Raw genomic sequence first — 16,463 nt, forward strand, 5'->3', positions numbered from 1 at the left:
AAGTATTCTGCTTGTGGATGTCTTCCTGATTTGTCACAGTTTGTTGTTCTGTTTCTGTTGATGTCTGGGATTTTTCCACTGGATATATAACTTTCATGTATTTTATTTCTTATGTTTTTATTTTTATTTTGTTTTTTTCTTTTGAGACGGAGTTTCGCTCTTGTTGCCCAGGCTAGAGTGCAATGGCGTGTTCTCAGCTCACTGCCACCTCCACCTCCCAGGTTCAAGTGATTGTCCTGCCTCAGCCTCCTGAGTAGCTGGGATTACAGGTGCCTGCCACCATGCCCAGCTAATTTTTTGTATTTTTAGTAGAGATGGGGTTTTACTATGATGACCAGGCTGGTCTCGAACTCCTGACCTCAGGTGATCCACCCACCTCGGCCTCCCAAAGTACTGGGATTACAGGCGTGAGCCACTGTGTTTGGCCCAGCTTTCATATATTTTAAAATATTTAAATAAAATTAAAGTTTAAATAAATCTAAATATTTAAAACTTAAATATTAAGAGTTGAAACAGAAATATAGAATGGATGTGAAAATAATATAAGCCGGGCATGGTGGCTCACACCTGTCATCCCAACACTTTTGGAGGCTGAAGTGGGAGGATTGCTTGAGGCCAGGAGTTCAAGACCAGCCTGGTCAACATGGCAAAACCCCATCTCTACTAAAAATACAAAAAATTAGCCAGGCGTGGTGGCAGGCACCTGTAATCCCAGCTACTTGGGAGGCTGAGACAGGAGAATCGCTTCAAGAGAGACCTCATCTCTACAAAAAAATTTAAAAATTGGCCGAATGTGGTGGCATGTGCTGGTAGTCCCAGCTATTTGTGAGGCTGAGGCAGGAGGATCACTTGAGCCCAGGAGGTCGAGGCTGCAGTGAGGTATGACTGTACCACGACACTCTAGCCTGGGGGACAGAGTGAGAGTAAGACTCCATCTCAAAAAGAAAAAAATAATAAATTTATATTTCATTCTTTATATATTTACATAGTTTTGAATGTTTTACAATATGGTTATATTATTACTCATAATTTTAATAATTAAAATACAAACTAATAAGGGATAACTAGAATAGAGAACATAAAAGCATTTATAGTGAAAGAGCCGGAGATTGAAGCCCAAAATCATCTTAGTGTGCATTTGACCAGCTAAGAGAGCAATTAATGTATCATTTCTTCTTATCTTGCTGTTTGCCTAGGCCATACCATGGCTAATGGGTTAAATTAACCAGTGTAATAAGAAGAACAGCAATCCTATCTGAGAAAGAATAGGCCCTAATAATGGAAAACACTTCTGCATTTTTAATGGTCCAATCTTTTGGATTAAGACGGTTTCATTCAAGCCAATTTCCATGCATTGAAACCTCTCCGAGGGTTAGTAAAAAGGGTTCCTGAATAAATTGGGAGCTTTGGGAGCTTGACCATTTTAATGACTCTTCCCTAGGTACAAAATCAGTGAACTTGGTGGTCCTACAATAAATTAATAACGGGGTTAATTAATAGTAGAGCTAATCTACATATTAGGAAGTTACTGTAAAGCATATCATTTGATTTTTGGTTTAAAGGGAAGAAGAATGCCAAGCAGCCCTTTCTCTGTTTAACGGACGATGGTATGCAGGACGACAGCTGCAGTGTGAATTCTGCCCCGTGACCCGGTGGAAAATGGCGATTTGTGGTAAAAGACAAAGTGATGATTTTTTTCCTCAATTGTTCCACTGCTATATAAAGGGATATTCTTTGGGGGAAACCCAGTATTTTCAAGTGGTGAGGCATAGCTTTTTGCCTCACACAGTAGATGAGCAGAGAACTTTATATAAAGAACACCACAGTTTAGATCTGTAACCGACCTCAATGAGTCACTTGATAGATGAAGTGACTGAGGTCACAACGTATTGGTGACAGAGGTGGGGCTAGAATTCCAGTCTTCCAATCTTCAGTCCTGGGCTCTGTGTCTGACAAATCAGGAAGCCTGAGGAGTTTACGTCTGTGGAAGCCCCATTTCCCTTGTTGCAGTTTCAGAGGTATTTTATATTCATTGGCTCACTTCACTTGAGCTGTTTGTTTGTTTCTTTCTTTCCATCTTTATCCCTAATGAATCTTCTGTCATGACCACCTACGTTACCTTGCCCATAGCATTTCCTGCCTTACTTGGAATAATACATCCTTCTGTGCACTAGAGACTAATTGTAGGCTTGGGATCAGTTAAACATGAATGCAGTCAGACTGACATCGGACAGTGGCAACCCAATCAGGAAATGATCCAGTCTTGTGCAGAATAGCCAGCAGTTTTGAAGGCCTAGTTATGTTCTGATTTCTCTCAGTGGACTGTTCCCTAGGTGAAAAGAGATGAGCTCTAAATGCCTCTGGGGAGCACTTATCTTACCGTTTACTTGTGTTTCTTTGCTGTATACATGCCTGCCTAACGCAAAGTCAGAATCTTTGGCAAGCTTGTCTTCCTTGGATTCTGTCATTCTGAAACCATTTATGAAGGGAAAAGAAAGATTTTAGGATTCCTGGCTAAGGGAAACCAGAAGAACCATTACACTTTAAAGGCTCGGGGGATGGAAGAGGTGGAATTGTTCGCTCCATAAAGGCAGTTACTTTTGTCAGTTCCTGGGAATCCAGTGTGAGTTCAGTGAGGAGCTTCTGAGTGTGACCTTGACTCCTCCAAAGCAGGGGACTATTTCATTAAAAAAAAAAAAACACTTTATTTTCCTTATTGACTAAAGACACTGAGCATCTTTTCATTATTGGCCATTTGTATGTCTTCTTTGGAGAGATGTCTGTTTGGATCCTTTGCCTATTTTCTAACTAGGCTCTTTGTCTTTTTATTATTGAGTTGTAAGAGTTCTTGGTATATTCTCCATACAAGTACCTGGTCACAAATATGATTTGCAGATATTTTCTCCCATTTTGTAGGTTCTTTTCACTTCATGTTCTTTTGAAATACAAGTTGTAAATTTTGATGAAATCCAACTTAACTATTTTTTTGTTTGTTTTGGTGTCACATCTAGGATGACATTGCTTAGCCCAGGGTCACAAAGATTTACTTGTATGTTTTCTTCAAGGTCATAGTTTCATTTCTTAACATTTAGGTCTTGGATACAGTTTAATTTTTGTATATAGTATGTGGTACGGAGGTATTTCACTTCTAACTGTTGTGCATATCTGGGGAATTTACTGCTTTTAAAAAACGTTTGAGAACCCCAAAGATCTCAAAATTGTTCGAATAGATTTTATCTGTGATAAGAATCTTCTGTATTAAAAGCACTTAGTGAATTTGAAGCATTAGTGTAATGTTTATAATCTTAAAGTTTAAAGAAAATATAGACTCCTCTATGTTTAATAGGCCTTCTCTTTTTTTTTTGAGAGTGAGTCTCACTCTGTCGCCCAGGCTGGAGTGCAGTGGCATAATTTTGGCTCACTGCAACCTCCACCTCCTGGGTTTAAGTGATTCTCATGCCTCCGCCTCCTGAGTAGCTGGGATTACAAGCGCCTGCCACCACGCCCAGCTAATTTTTGTATTTTTAGTAGAGATGGGGTTTCGCCATGTTGGCCAGGCTGGTCTCAAACTCCTGACCTCAGGTCTGTGCCCGCCTCAGCCTCCCAAAGTGTTAGGATTACAGGTGTGAGCCACCGCACCTGGCCACGCCTTCTCTTTTGACCAGTGGTTCTGGCCTGTTTCCTCCATGCCATCAAACCGTGCTACCACAGGGACCCAAAGAGCTGGCTATTTGATGTTAATCAGGGATCAAAATCGTCAATCAGTGGGAAGGTGAAACCTGGAGAAGATAACGTGGTCACCATTTGCTCAGTTGCAGTCTGCACCATAATCCAACAGGGGCACAGGCTATTCTGCTTAATGAAAACTTCTGATTTGTTACCTTTCAGAGTGTCATTTATTAGAGCACGTTTGAAATCGTGGGAACCAAATTATGACATCAATTTATGTAAGCCCCTTTTACATAATACACAGTAGAAAATAGTTCTAGCATATCCAAATATCAGAAATGTACCTTCGGAAAAGGATAAAGTAGCATCTTCAGAATATGCAGTGATAAGTGCTGTTTCATCACTGTGCCATTGCAGGTTTATTTGAAATACAACAATGTCCAAGAGGAAAGCACTGCAACTTTCTTCATGTGTTCAGAAATCCCAACAATGAATTCTGGGAAGCTAATAGAGACATCTACTTGTCTCCAGATCGGACTGGCTCCTCCTTTGGGAAGAACTCCGAAAGGAGGGAGAGGATGGGCCACCACGACGACTACTACAGCAGGCTGCGGGGAAGGAGAAACCCTAGTCCAGACCACTCCTACAAAAGAAATGGGGAATCCGAGAGGAAAAGTAGTCGTCACAGGGGGAAGAAATCTCACAAACGCACATCAAAGAGTCGGGAGAGGCACAATTCACGAAGCAGAGGAAGAAATAGGGACCGCAGCAGGGACCGCAGCCGGGGCCGGGGCAGCCGGAGCCGGAGCCGGAGCCGGAGCCGCAGGAGCCGCCGCAGCCGGAGCCAAAGTTCCTCTAGGTCCCGAAGTCGTGGCAGGAGGAGGTCGGGTAATAGAGACAGAACTGTTCAGAGTCCCAAATCCAAATAAACTAGTTTTGTTCTTAAATGATTGTATATCTTATTTATTATGGTTGCTACATACTCGGATAGAAGGCTATGAACGCAGATGGGTTCGCAAGTCTGGCTGAACCCTGTGTAGCCTGGAATTCTATTTAAAAATATTTTTATTCTCTTATAATCATGAAGTATGGTTAGTATAGAAAACATAAAATACATAAATAACAACATGAAAATTACTTGTAATCCTAACCCTGAGAGAGAACTAAACATTGGAGCATTGTTTTAGTGTGTACACTTTTTTCTTTTTTTTTAGAGATAGGTTCTCACGAGCAGTGGCGTGATCATAGCTCACTGCAGCCTCAAACTCTTGGGCTCAGGTGATCTTCCCATCTCAGCCACCCAAGTAGCTGAGACTACAAGGTACACACCACCACACCTGGCTAATTTTTAAACATTGTTTTGTGGAGACAGCGTTTTGCCATGTTGCCCAAGCTGGTTTTGAACTCCTGGGCTCAAGTGATCCTCCCACCTTGTCTTCCCAAAGCGCTGGGATTATAGGTGTGATCCACCACACCCAGCCCTATGTACACATTTTTTAATACAAAGAACACATATGAATGCAGTTGAATATGCTTTTATTCACAAGAAGCAGTCATACTTCATCAAGCCCTATTCTTCGTTTTACTCACTGCACAATATGGATCAGTTTTTTCAACCATATCCTCATTGTTAGATTTTTAATTTTGTACTATTCAAGAATCCTGTGCTGAAATCAATCCTGTGATGGATTTTCTTAAATACTTCCACATATTTTTGATCATTTCCTTAGGATAAATTGTATCAAGGACATGAATACTAAAATATTTCCAAGTTGCCTGCCAGAAGACTATAAAAAATTTATTATGTCAATAAACTTTGCTGCTCCCACAACGCCAAGTAATTTTAATCCTTACCAATTTGATAAATTTTATGTGTTCATATATTTAATGTTTTTTTATTCTTGTTGGCCCCCTACCCCTTTTTTTAGAGACAGGGTCTTGCTATGTTGCCCAGACTGGAGGGCAGTGGCTGTTCACATGATCATTGTGCACTGTAGCCTCAAACTCCTGGGCTCAAGCGATCTTCTTGGCTCAGCCTCCTGAATATCTGAAACTACAGGTGAGCCCTGCTTGTTTGCCTTTTATTAATAATCTATTGGATTTTTCTATATGTAATAGCTGAACAGCTTTTTTGCTTTAAAGTTCATTTTCTCAGTTTTAAAGTACTGATGGGCAAAGTCCATTTTTTTTCCTCCTACTCTTCAGCTGGGGGCTGTCGTGTACTTTTTTAAATAGTGTGTTGGAAAGTTCTTTATATAGGAGTAAAGTTTATTTTTGTCATTTCCAGGAATATTAGGGTCATTGGTACTAAATATGCCTAGTGTTAAAGCAATCCTGGTATAAAAATCTCAACAGAATGGTCAGAGAATAGAACCTAATGCAGAAAAAGCTTCAGGCAAAATATTATACCTAGATTTCTGATCATAAATAAGATGCTCTCCAGCTTTATCAATTTTTTGTCGCTTTCTTTCCATTGACATATTTGGGATCTAGAATTTTGGAGTATGTGACATTTTTCAATTTGAGATTTGGGAATAAGGACTTAAAACATACGTAAAATACTGAAACGTTAACGAAATTTAAGTAGGAAGAAAGTTTCCTCAAAATTGGAATTTCTGCATGATATCTGTTAAGGATGAGAGTTCTTTCATGTGTAGTCAATAAAAGAAATCATGCATGTGGCCCAGGATAATTTCACTTTAAAAAGTTGGATTTGTTCCAGACTCTAAATGCCTGCTTCACCCTGAAAATGATTGACCTAGAACTATCTACTGATTTCAGTAACGCCGAGTAATTATCATTAAATTCAGTATTTTTTAATACTTTTCTAAATACAGTCAAGATATATGCAATTAAATGTGGTCTGCAAAGCTGAAATCTTAATAAATCATGGAGGCTAAGAAAGAAAACCACCATCTTGAGCTCAGGACAACTGAGATATTGATGACTTTCCCCTCAAATGTTAATAGGCAGGGTAGAAGGGCAGGAAGTTTTTAAACCACTGACTGGTTCATTATCCTGATAAATGTCCATCTTGAACTTAAATTTATTAGTTTTTTTTAATATATATTGCCTGATTACTATTTATGTTTCAAAAATTCCAACTATACATTGCTAGCAGAAACCCACAGGCCTGTTTTCAGTGAATAGCTAGCTGCATGTTGGAGGCTTTTTAAACCTATAAACGTCTTTTTTTCCAGTAGACTAGCAACTTAATTTGATGGTAGTTCCTGCCTCCTTCTTAAATAGCCCAGTTTTAGAATGTAACATTTCCTATCTGTAGTAATAGGAGGTCCCTTAACTATCATGATTACCATAGATTTGATTTGTTGCATAGGTTAGGTAGTACAGTCTGCAAGTATTAGTCCCTTTCTGTTGCATGTGCTAGCACCTTCAGTTCACAAGGGGGTAAGAGGAATCCAGTTGATTTGAAATACCTTTTGAGTAACAGTCTAAGTTGTTCATTCAGAAAGAGTAGAAAAGTCAACTGCATCAAGGTTTTAAAAGCAGCATTTATTGATTGAAAATAAATGTGTAGATAGGCTCTCAGTATGGAATCCATGTTATTTTTTAATGAAGTACATGAAGACTCCTTAGATCTTCCACCATGTATCTTGTGTGTGCTTATAACAACCACCATATTCAAATGGAGGGGAATTTTCAACATTTTACTGAAAAAAAAATGAGAAATTCTTCCTTCAGCAGCTCTGCATAGTTTGACAAACTTTTGGAAAGAGATAAAAACACACTCCAGTGTTTGTACGTTGAACGTTTATTACAACTAATTGGCGATGTGATAAGACAGTGCTCACGTGGCCTGAATGTTGGTCACAATCACAACAAAGCTTAATCCAGCCCAGCATATATAAGTGAAAATATAAACCATGAAGACATGTTTAGATATGTATAAGTACTTAGAAAAGTGACGCTGAACAATTACATAGCTTTAAAAAATATAGAGCCATCTAATGCCATTTTACCTCATTCAACTCTTTTTTGTAAGAAATGTGTCTTTTTAAATTTTTATAAGACTTCTGTTAACTAGGCAGTGCCATGGAAAGAAAGGAAGCTGCTGTAAAGTGTGCAGCACTTCTAAGTGGAGGGAAGCAAAATAAATTTAGCTTTAACAAGTACCCCAGAGGGAACATTCGTGCTTTAAACAATGACTTTACACATAATACTGTGAAGAGAGCAACACGTTTTTTGTAAGATACTGTTATGAAGAATTCCTGGCAAATTACCATTCTCACTTTATTTTGGGGCATCAAAAACAACTAAGTATTTGATTATGACCACAAAAAATTCATCTCAGGAGTCAAATGTGCCTTGGCCTTAAAAATTATGTGCTTACTATTGTGAAACAATCCTGTTTCTCATCCCAGATTCAGAATGCCTAAGAAATAATTTTTAGTGTAAGAAGTATCACTCCAATTTAGTCATTAAAAATAATCTGTAGTCCTTTAAAAAAAAAAAAAAAAGGTATGTAATTTCCAATACAAGTCTTTGGAGTAAATTTGCTTTTTAAAGTTTCAACAAAGTTTCCATTCATTTGATATGTGACATGTCAATTCCCTTTTTTTTTTTTTTTACATATGCTGAAATGCTGCACTAGTCTTTGGTTTCATAAAACCAGGTTTCACATTATAATTTAAGAGTTTCCTTTGTCAAATACAGTAATTAATAAATGTATACTGCCTGATTTTACATGTATATGATGTGCCATTTTCATATGTGCACATAATCAGATTAAGAGAAACTGACCTTTAAACTTTAAAATATCCAGAAAAGGTATCTCTTTCTGCACCATTCTAATTCATATTTAAGTCCCTTATCACTTAATTAACTAAAGTTCCCTTTTAAAAAAAAATTGTGTAGGCATGAATGAAGCGGCTTAGCAAAACAGTAATACTGACAAGACATCATCTTACACCATGAGCTAACATGGACATGAAGGGAGTGACCATCTACAGTGTGTGAAATGCCACAAGAAGTCATCAACAAGGGAGGAGAGTTATGTCAGTCCAATTTCTTCAAGAACACTACGTGGGGTTTCAGCTTCCTGTGGAGGGAAAATGTGAGACTCTGGTAAGCAGATCCAGGGAGTCTTGAGAATGTGAAACATTGACATGGAAGAACATGCTTGTTTTAGAGAATCAAGAAAGCAATTTCGTGTCACAGTAGCATTCTAGTTGACAGCCATTGGTTATTTAGGGTTTTGTGCCCTCAAAATTGGAGACCACAAAAGGACGTTTTCAGCATTCATTAAGTACCTGCTAATTACCTACCAATGTGCTAGATGCCGTTGCTGTCATGCAAAAAGCAGTCAAGCCCAGTGCAAACCTGCTGGCAATTTATGAAATCACTGCTACTCAATTATATATATGAAAGATAAGTTATCTTAGTGGTAAAATTCAAAACCTCTTCCCTCCGAGTTCCCACAGTTCTTCGCCTACTGTTGTGTTCCATGCTTTTTGTCACATGCATTTATAGAAATGTCTTCCTCTTGGAGTTTTTAGTTAACTGTGTCCACAGCGGCAAGTCTTCAGAAACAGCTATCTTCCCAGACCTCCCCAGTGCAACCAATGGCATCACTAGAGGCCACATATGCAAAGAATGCCATGGGCCAAAGGCATTTTTATTCTATGTAGCAACCAGCACTGGTTTTTAAGTGTCAAAGGAGGTCAAAACAAAGTAAGCATATCCAGGAAAAAATTATTTAATAATTTTCCAAAGTGGCTGATTTTGCAAATCACAAAATAAAGGACCAAGGAGGCCAACTTTCAGGTATTACTAGCAACGAATTTTGTAATTAAAAGGCAACACTATATTTTAATGATGGAAAATAATATAAATTTTTGGCATCCAGTAATAAACTTACTTTCGCATCCTAATCATGGTACAGCACAAAGCAAGGAGAAGAGAAATTATATTAAACCATAAATCTTTAGAATATTAATTGCATGTAAAGCACTTCATGGTGTAATCTTAAGTAAATTACTTAAACTCTATGGTCTGTTTCCTTATTTGGAAAACATGGATAATAGTACTTACCTTCATATGTTGAGATTAAGTGAATTAAGGCTCTGCCTAATTTATAGAAAGTGCTTCAAAAATGTTAGGTGATATAGTTACACAATTGAAATCGAAATGATTTAGCATTTATTATTAAACGCAAGTACTATACACCAATTCTACTTATAAAGCTCATATGATGACCTTTTAGTATGTCTGCATAGTAATAAAAATGGGTAAAAATCAGCTTTAGCGAAAAAAGGTATTTTTTTAAAAAGAGTCTAACCTATGAAGTATTCTTGCCCCCTCAAATTGAACCTCAATCTAGTCAGGTTACAGATCTAAATAGAAATGAGGGATATAAGAACAGCTAAACATTGCCATATGAGTATGATGGCCAAATCCATAAGGTAGGACATCCTGCAGCATAAATGACCTCGTTTTAAAAAAAAAAAATGGCAAGGCGGGAAAAAGCAGACGATTTGTTAAAGATTAAAAGAGACTTAAAACGCACATCAATCAGATACAATGTGAGAGTCTTGGTTGGAATCTGATTCTAACAAACCAAATATAAAAAGGCATTTTTCAGACAATTAGGAAAAATTGAGCCAGGCATAAGATAGTAATTATTAATTCCTGTTAATTTTGTGGGGCATGGTACTTTATCTGTTAGGGACACATACTGAAGTATTAAAGACAAACTGACAAGATGTCTAGGGCTTGCTCTAAGATACTGAGGCAAAAATGCGGGGAGTGGTTGGGGAAACAGTATTAAGTTGATGGTTCTTGAAGCTCAGTGATGTGTACACGAGGGTTCTTTATACTATTTCCTATACTCGTGAGTCTTGAAGTTTTCATGATAAAGTTTTTTAAGAAAGTCCAGTGGAAATGATGTAACACCCAAGAGTGATGTAAGCCAATCCCTTTCATTTATATTTAGCCTTAAGCATTAAATACACTGAGAATGACATCTAAATCTCATAAATATTCAAGAAAAATTTAAAATAATTATTTCCATGTAATGTTAAGTAGTTTAAAGGTTCATGTAGCCTTGAATGTATCAATTAAATAATGCCTCCATTGAATTCTACAGTTTACATTCTCAGCTTCTCCATGTAAAAATGCCCCACAGCTACTCCGTGGAGCTGGTCAGACTTTTCCCCATGTGCTCACTGCCTGCAATCTTATATAGCATTTCCTGTAGAGAATCATACTGCTTATCAAATATGCATTATTGAAAATATGTGTCCTTTCTAAAAGGCCTAGTTTCAAAGAATTATTTACACATTTTATTCTTGTGAGACTTGCACAGGTAGAGTTTTAAAATAAATTGTGGTGATAATATAAAATGGAACTTACACATGTTCACACTGAAATTGTAGCTCAAAACTACCCAGAAAAACTATTATCTATCTAAAGTAGTAAAATTTATAGAAACAGAAAGTCGAATGGTGGTTGCCAGGGGCTGGGGGACAGGGAGAAATGGGGAATTGTTGATTAATGGGTATAGAGTTTCAGTTCTGCCAGATGAAAAAGTCCTGCAGATCTGCTGCACAACAATGTGAATAAACTTAACTAACACAACTGAACTGTACACTTAAAACTGCGTAAGATGGTGAATTCTGTGTTATGTGTTTTTAACCACAATTTAAAAAATTTGCCTAGAAAAATGAAAATATAAAACGTTATTTTATGAGGGATGGAAAAGAAAAAGTCATTCACATGAGACGAAGTACATGCAATACTTTTATTTTAGACATGCAAGGAAAGCTATTTCAGAATCTACTAATTTAAAGCAAGCAGCTGTATACAGACAGCAAAAGAAGCAACATTTTGTTACAGCTTAGCACAAGGCATCCAACACAAACAGGCATGAGACAATGCATATTTATGTAGCATTAAAACCAGATGAATAATATATTGTGGGGCAGGAGGAGGAAAGGAGGGGAAAAAAAAATAGAAATGAAAGACCAATGTTTCTCAATGCTTCCAATATATAATGCTAAATTTCCCACCTGATTGATAGCACATCCAGGTGCTTCAAATGTCGTGCATTACAGTGAGAATGTTAAGAATGGAAAATCTTATCTGTGTACCTGCCTAATACTAAGTTTGGTCAAAACACATTTTCATAGATCTTCTTTCAGTGATAAATCGATTTGAACATCTTGTGAAGTTATTGTTTAATAACTTACTTAACTTAGGCTTTATGCTCTCTAGATATAAACAATGAATTCTTTTCCTTTTATAAAAAAATATGCTGCATGTTTTATTAAAAGAATATGCAATAGTTACCAATATTAAAGGTTTTAAAATTCAGAAATATAATGCCACAGTTAACAAAGTATCAAGTATTTAAATGAGGACTTAATATATTAGAATGCCATCACTAGTAAAATATAAGTATTTAGGTATTAAAACTGAATGAATATTAGAATTTTTGAACTATATAAACTCAGCATTAATGCTTTGAAAGAGTTATTATTCAGCAACAGATATTGCAGAACAGACTTCAGACATAGCTCTCTAATAAGTTCTTAAAGGGATTGTTTGATATTATTATATAGCACAAATGTGATTCAATAAATGTGGCACTACAAAATTTCTTAATACTGAATGTTTTAACCTTAAATATTATATAATGGTACAAATTAATTTTAGTTTCTTGTAATATTTTCACATATACTTTTATGTGATACATTAGAACACATTAGCTCATACAGATTGTAAGATAATCACACAAAATAGTTTCTTTTTTTAACCTCCATATTTGAAGACCAAACTACACTATATATTATGGCACTGCTTATTTTGACCTAGCACTTCAGCTATATTTTCTTTGGTAAACATTTTAATGATTGTCATGTTTTCCTCTTATAAGATAAATCACAGATGGTTCATTAATAATATGTATGTGTTTAAGATTTAATATTACTCAAAACACTTCTAGGTCATATTTTGTCAAGATGAGATTAAATCAGTTGCAGAAAGGAATGAGCTGTATCAAGATCACATATAGAATGAAAATAAAACAGAAAAGTTTGGAATGTGAACAGGAAAAAAATACAATCATAAAAGTACTAGTTCTAAAATGTTCTACTATTATTATACAAGACAATAAATCACCATGCTGAGGATATTTTCTTTCATATGTATATCAGCATTCTATTTCCTCTGTGAAATTCTGCATACTCGATGAGTAGTCATTTAGTACACAGGGACATTAAAATATTCATGACGTGGCTACAAAAGAAATGCATATATTCTTACACACAGTATACAAACTGACACAGACACAATCAGATTTCTAGAACATTTAGCTCACAGTAAAGATAACTAAAACTTAAGTTTCTGTTTGCTTTCATTCTTTGGTTTAAGGCTGAATATTTAACTTCTAAACAATGCCCAAGACTTTAGATTCATTTTTTTCTAACTTTACTACATACAGTGTTCAAAATGATGACAGACATCCTCCAGAAATTTTACAAAATCCTAAAACACTATATTTACTACTAATATTATGAAAAGATTTTCAGTGTAAGTCATCTGGTCAATACTGAGTTGACCAAAAATTCAATTAGAATATTCCCCTTCCACCAGTATTTAAATTCATTAGTTCATTTGTATTACATAAACTAAAGAACCTAGAGAAAAATCTTTCCCAATAAAAACTGGAAAAGTAGTCACTCATCTGGTATTTTAAGTAGCAATGAAGGTTTTTAACCGTTTACTTATACCTACAAAAGCAAAAAATCCAAAGAATTTGACTGAGACTGAGGATATTACTTTTTTAAAAATCCTCAAGACAGATTTTAACGAACTCTCCAGATTTGAGTGTCTACAGAAGGACTTCTAGGGGCTCTGAGAGTTCCCTGAAATTAGAAACAAAATGATGTGCAAATTTTCCTGGGGTGACAGCCCATCATCCTTCAGACTCTCAAAGGGATTATATCCCCACCAGAAAGCAAGTTTAAAATTGCTTATTTGAGTGTCTTTAAAGTATCCTCATTTTAATATTTATTCAAGTTGAAACTTTGAAATGTTGAACTACAAAATCATGTAAACTGTTCCAAGAAAAATATCTAACAAATCCCTAAACTTACACAACCATTAATTACAAACGTATCTGAGGACAAAAGCCAGTTACATTTTAATCCTCAAAGAATTCCTAAATATTTTAAAGAGATAGCTGCCCTTTTCCCCCAACTCAGAATATAGTGGAATGAAGCAGCAAGTTAAAATCATATTAATAAGAAATTAAACTCCCAACTACTTCATTTTCTCACAGAAGCTCTCATTTTCATAGGGAAATTCTTCTGTATCAATGGCATTAGTGATTCACAGTATTTAATGAATGCTTTATTGTCAATGAACCTCTGAAGCTATTTCCATATTCTGTGTAAAAAATAAATTATAAGCCCCAATAATGGATCATTATCCAAGCAAAATTCCCTATGAAAATACCAGTTTAATGAAGTAATTGGGACTATCCCTTGGGATTTAATGTAATTAGACTTTTCAGGTAATGCTAAAATATAAATAACAAACTTGACAAAATTGTCATTACAAACTGAATTTATATATCCTACTACATTTTGATGCATGTCAGTACTCCAGCACGTATTCTAGTACGCTTTCTTAAACCCAATGAAACTCTTGCTGTGATACATAGTCTCTGTTTTCTGGAGAGAGAACAAGAAAAGTTTAAGTCTGTCAAATAACCTTTTGCCTAAATAATACCAATCTGTCAAATAACCTTTTGCCTAAATAATACCAGTTCTTTGAGCCTTTATATTATAGTTTATCATCTTTTTCTTTTCTCTCTTAATTTTCTATCATACCATGTAAAAACCAACCATCGAGAGCTTACGCTCATTAAAAGAGAAGAGGTGGTTTCCCAAACAGGGCGGAGTATGCAACCATTCCTCCCCAGGAGACTTACTATGAACTACACCAGCAATTCTACAGGAACAATTCTCAATGTGACCACCCAGGCATTTCCACCACTTATACCCTGACACACCTTTTACTGCTTTTAGGAAAGAAAAGGGTTGATGATAAGCCAAACTATTCTTTATAGCCATTGATCCATATTACTGTACTTAAGTAAGAAATTACCATCTATTAAATGTGAGAATACTCTTCATAGGGAGAAACCCCTCTTCACTGGAAAAACATCCTTCAAGAAGAAAAGAAACTCTAAAATGCACAAAAATAAATGTATTATTTTTACCATTTTAAATTGCTTTAATAACGTTTTAAATAATTTCCCAGTTTAGACTTCTAGGGTCTGAAAAAGTTCTGTTATAAATGCCTTAAGGACCACTTAACATTTAAGGTAATTTTTTAGCTAAATTATATGCCCATAATTAACCAAAATATTTTTCTTTCAGATACAAAGAAAGTAGATTCAATTATAAATTCCAGTTTATACCTCTTACCACCAGTACCTCTTGTGAGTCACATAAAAATTATATCAATTAGGAATTAGGGAGGGTGAGAGTAAAGTCTGTCATAGCACACAAGGGACCCTGTGCAGGCCTAGGCCTACTATCTTGTTCTTCCCCTGGGCACCCGTAGGAAATAGTCACATATAATACTCAGCAAACTATCCGTTTCTTAAAACACTAAAACCCCAGTGATTTCAATTAAGTGGGAATAAAGGTCAGAATGAAAACAGTGAGAAAAAATTTTTTAATCCAGTTGTATTGTACAACTATAAACCATGTATTGTCCTTAGTACAGGTTCTCTGGAGACCTATTCTTTGAATAAGGATGACAATGTATTATTTCAACCTGAAACGGGCTTTCAATCCCAGGAAATCTTTTTTGCTCCTCACTAATTTGCTCCCCACCAAGTCTACTGCCAACTCCTCACACTGTCCTCAAGCTATACACCCCTCCCCTTCTCCCCAGTCCCAACGATTCTCCTTTAGATGATGTCATTTCTCAAGGCCAAGAAAATGACACTTCCTCAATTTTGCTCATCTTACTCATGAATTAAAGAAAAAAAAAGTCTACAGCTTTACCCCATTATCACCACATAACCAATGAGAAAGACTCTTCTCATCCGAGACCAATGTTTTTGATTCCACTCCCATTCTCCCTTCCAAAATATATATATATATATATATATATATATATATATATATATAATTTTTTTTTTTTGAGACAGAGTCTTGCTCTGTCGCCCAGGCTAGAAGGCAGTGGCTTGATCTCAGCTCACTGCAATCTCCACCTCACGGGTTCAAGCGATTCTCCTGCCTCAGCTTCCTGAGTAGCTGGGATTACAGGCACCCACCACTGTGCCCGGCTAATTTTTGTATTTTTTTTTTTTTTTTAGTAGAGATGGGGTTTCACCATCTTGGCCAGGCTGGTCTCGAACTCCTGACCTCATGATCCACCCGCCTCAGCCTCCCAAAGTGCTGGGATTACATAGTGAACCACTATGCCCAGCCCCAATATACTTTTTCTTTTATTCTATTCCTATTTGTCCTTCTTAGAAAACATGCACTTCCACTTTCCCCTGCATGAAGAAAAATGTTGTTCTCAACACCCTACAAAAAGGACCAGATGTAGTGGGAAGTGTAGGATGACAAACAGCAGAGAGAAGTCAAGTTACACCTGTTCTCAAAACCTAAGACAAGCCCTGTTACCGTGAAATTTCCTAGATATTCACCATACTAGGCTTATGACTCACAAGTAAAACCAACAGGGAAGCTATAACGAACACTGATAAAATAGGAATTATCTGCAGGCTTAAGTCTTGTTGACATGAGAAG

The 16,463-nt window shown here is 36.3% G+C and overlaps 2 protein-coding genes across 11 annotated transcripts in view; one reads left to right on the top strand and one right to left on the bottom strand.

Moving 5' to 3' along the window:
- ZRSR2 (zinc finger CCCH-type, RNA binding motif and serine/arginine rich 2) overlaps nt 1-4,616 on the top strand; it is a 32,777-nt gene extending 28,161 nt beyond the window's left edge. For both annotated transcript variants that reach the window (NM_005089.4, XM_011545589.4), the window contains 2 exons: nt 1,563-1,672; nt 4,087-4,616. In NM_005089.4, coding sequence (NP_005080.1) covers nt 1,563-1,672; nt 4,087-4,598 — 622 coding nt within the window. In that variant the 3' untranslated portion in view covers nt 4,599-4,616. The remainder of the gene's footprint in view (nt 1-1,562; nt 1,673-4,086) is intronic.
- AP1S2 (adaptor related protein complex 1 subunit sigma 2) overlaps nt 7,162-16,463 on the bottom strand; it is a 29,008-nt gene continuing 19,706 nt past the window's right edge. For 2 of the 9 annotated variants that reach the window (NM_003916.5, NM_001440865.1), the window contains one exon: nt 7,162-8,728. In NM_003916.5, the coding sequence (NP_003907.3) occupies nt 8,681-8,728 (48 nt within the window). In that variant the 3' untranslated portion in view covers nt 7,162-8,680. Of the gene's footprint in view, nt 8,729-9,547; nt 9,557-11,414; nt 14,881-16,463 lie in introns of those variants that run through there. The other 7 variants (NM_001272071.2, NR_160933.1, NR_160932.1 and 4 more) reach the window with 7 other exon arrangements.

Source organism: Homo sapiens, chromosome X (genome assembly GCF_000001405.40).
Source record: "Homo sapiens chromosome X, GRCh38.p14 Primary Assembly".
NCBI lineage: Eukaryota > Metazoa > Chordata > Mammalia > Primates > Hominidae > Homo > Homo sapiens.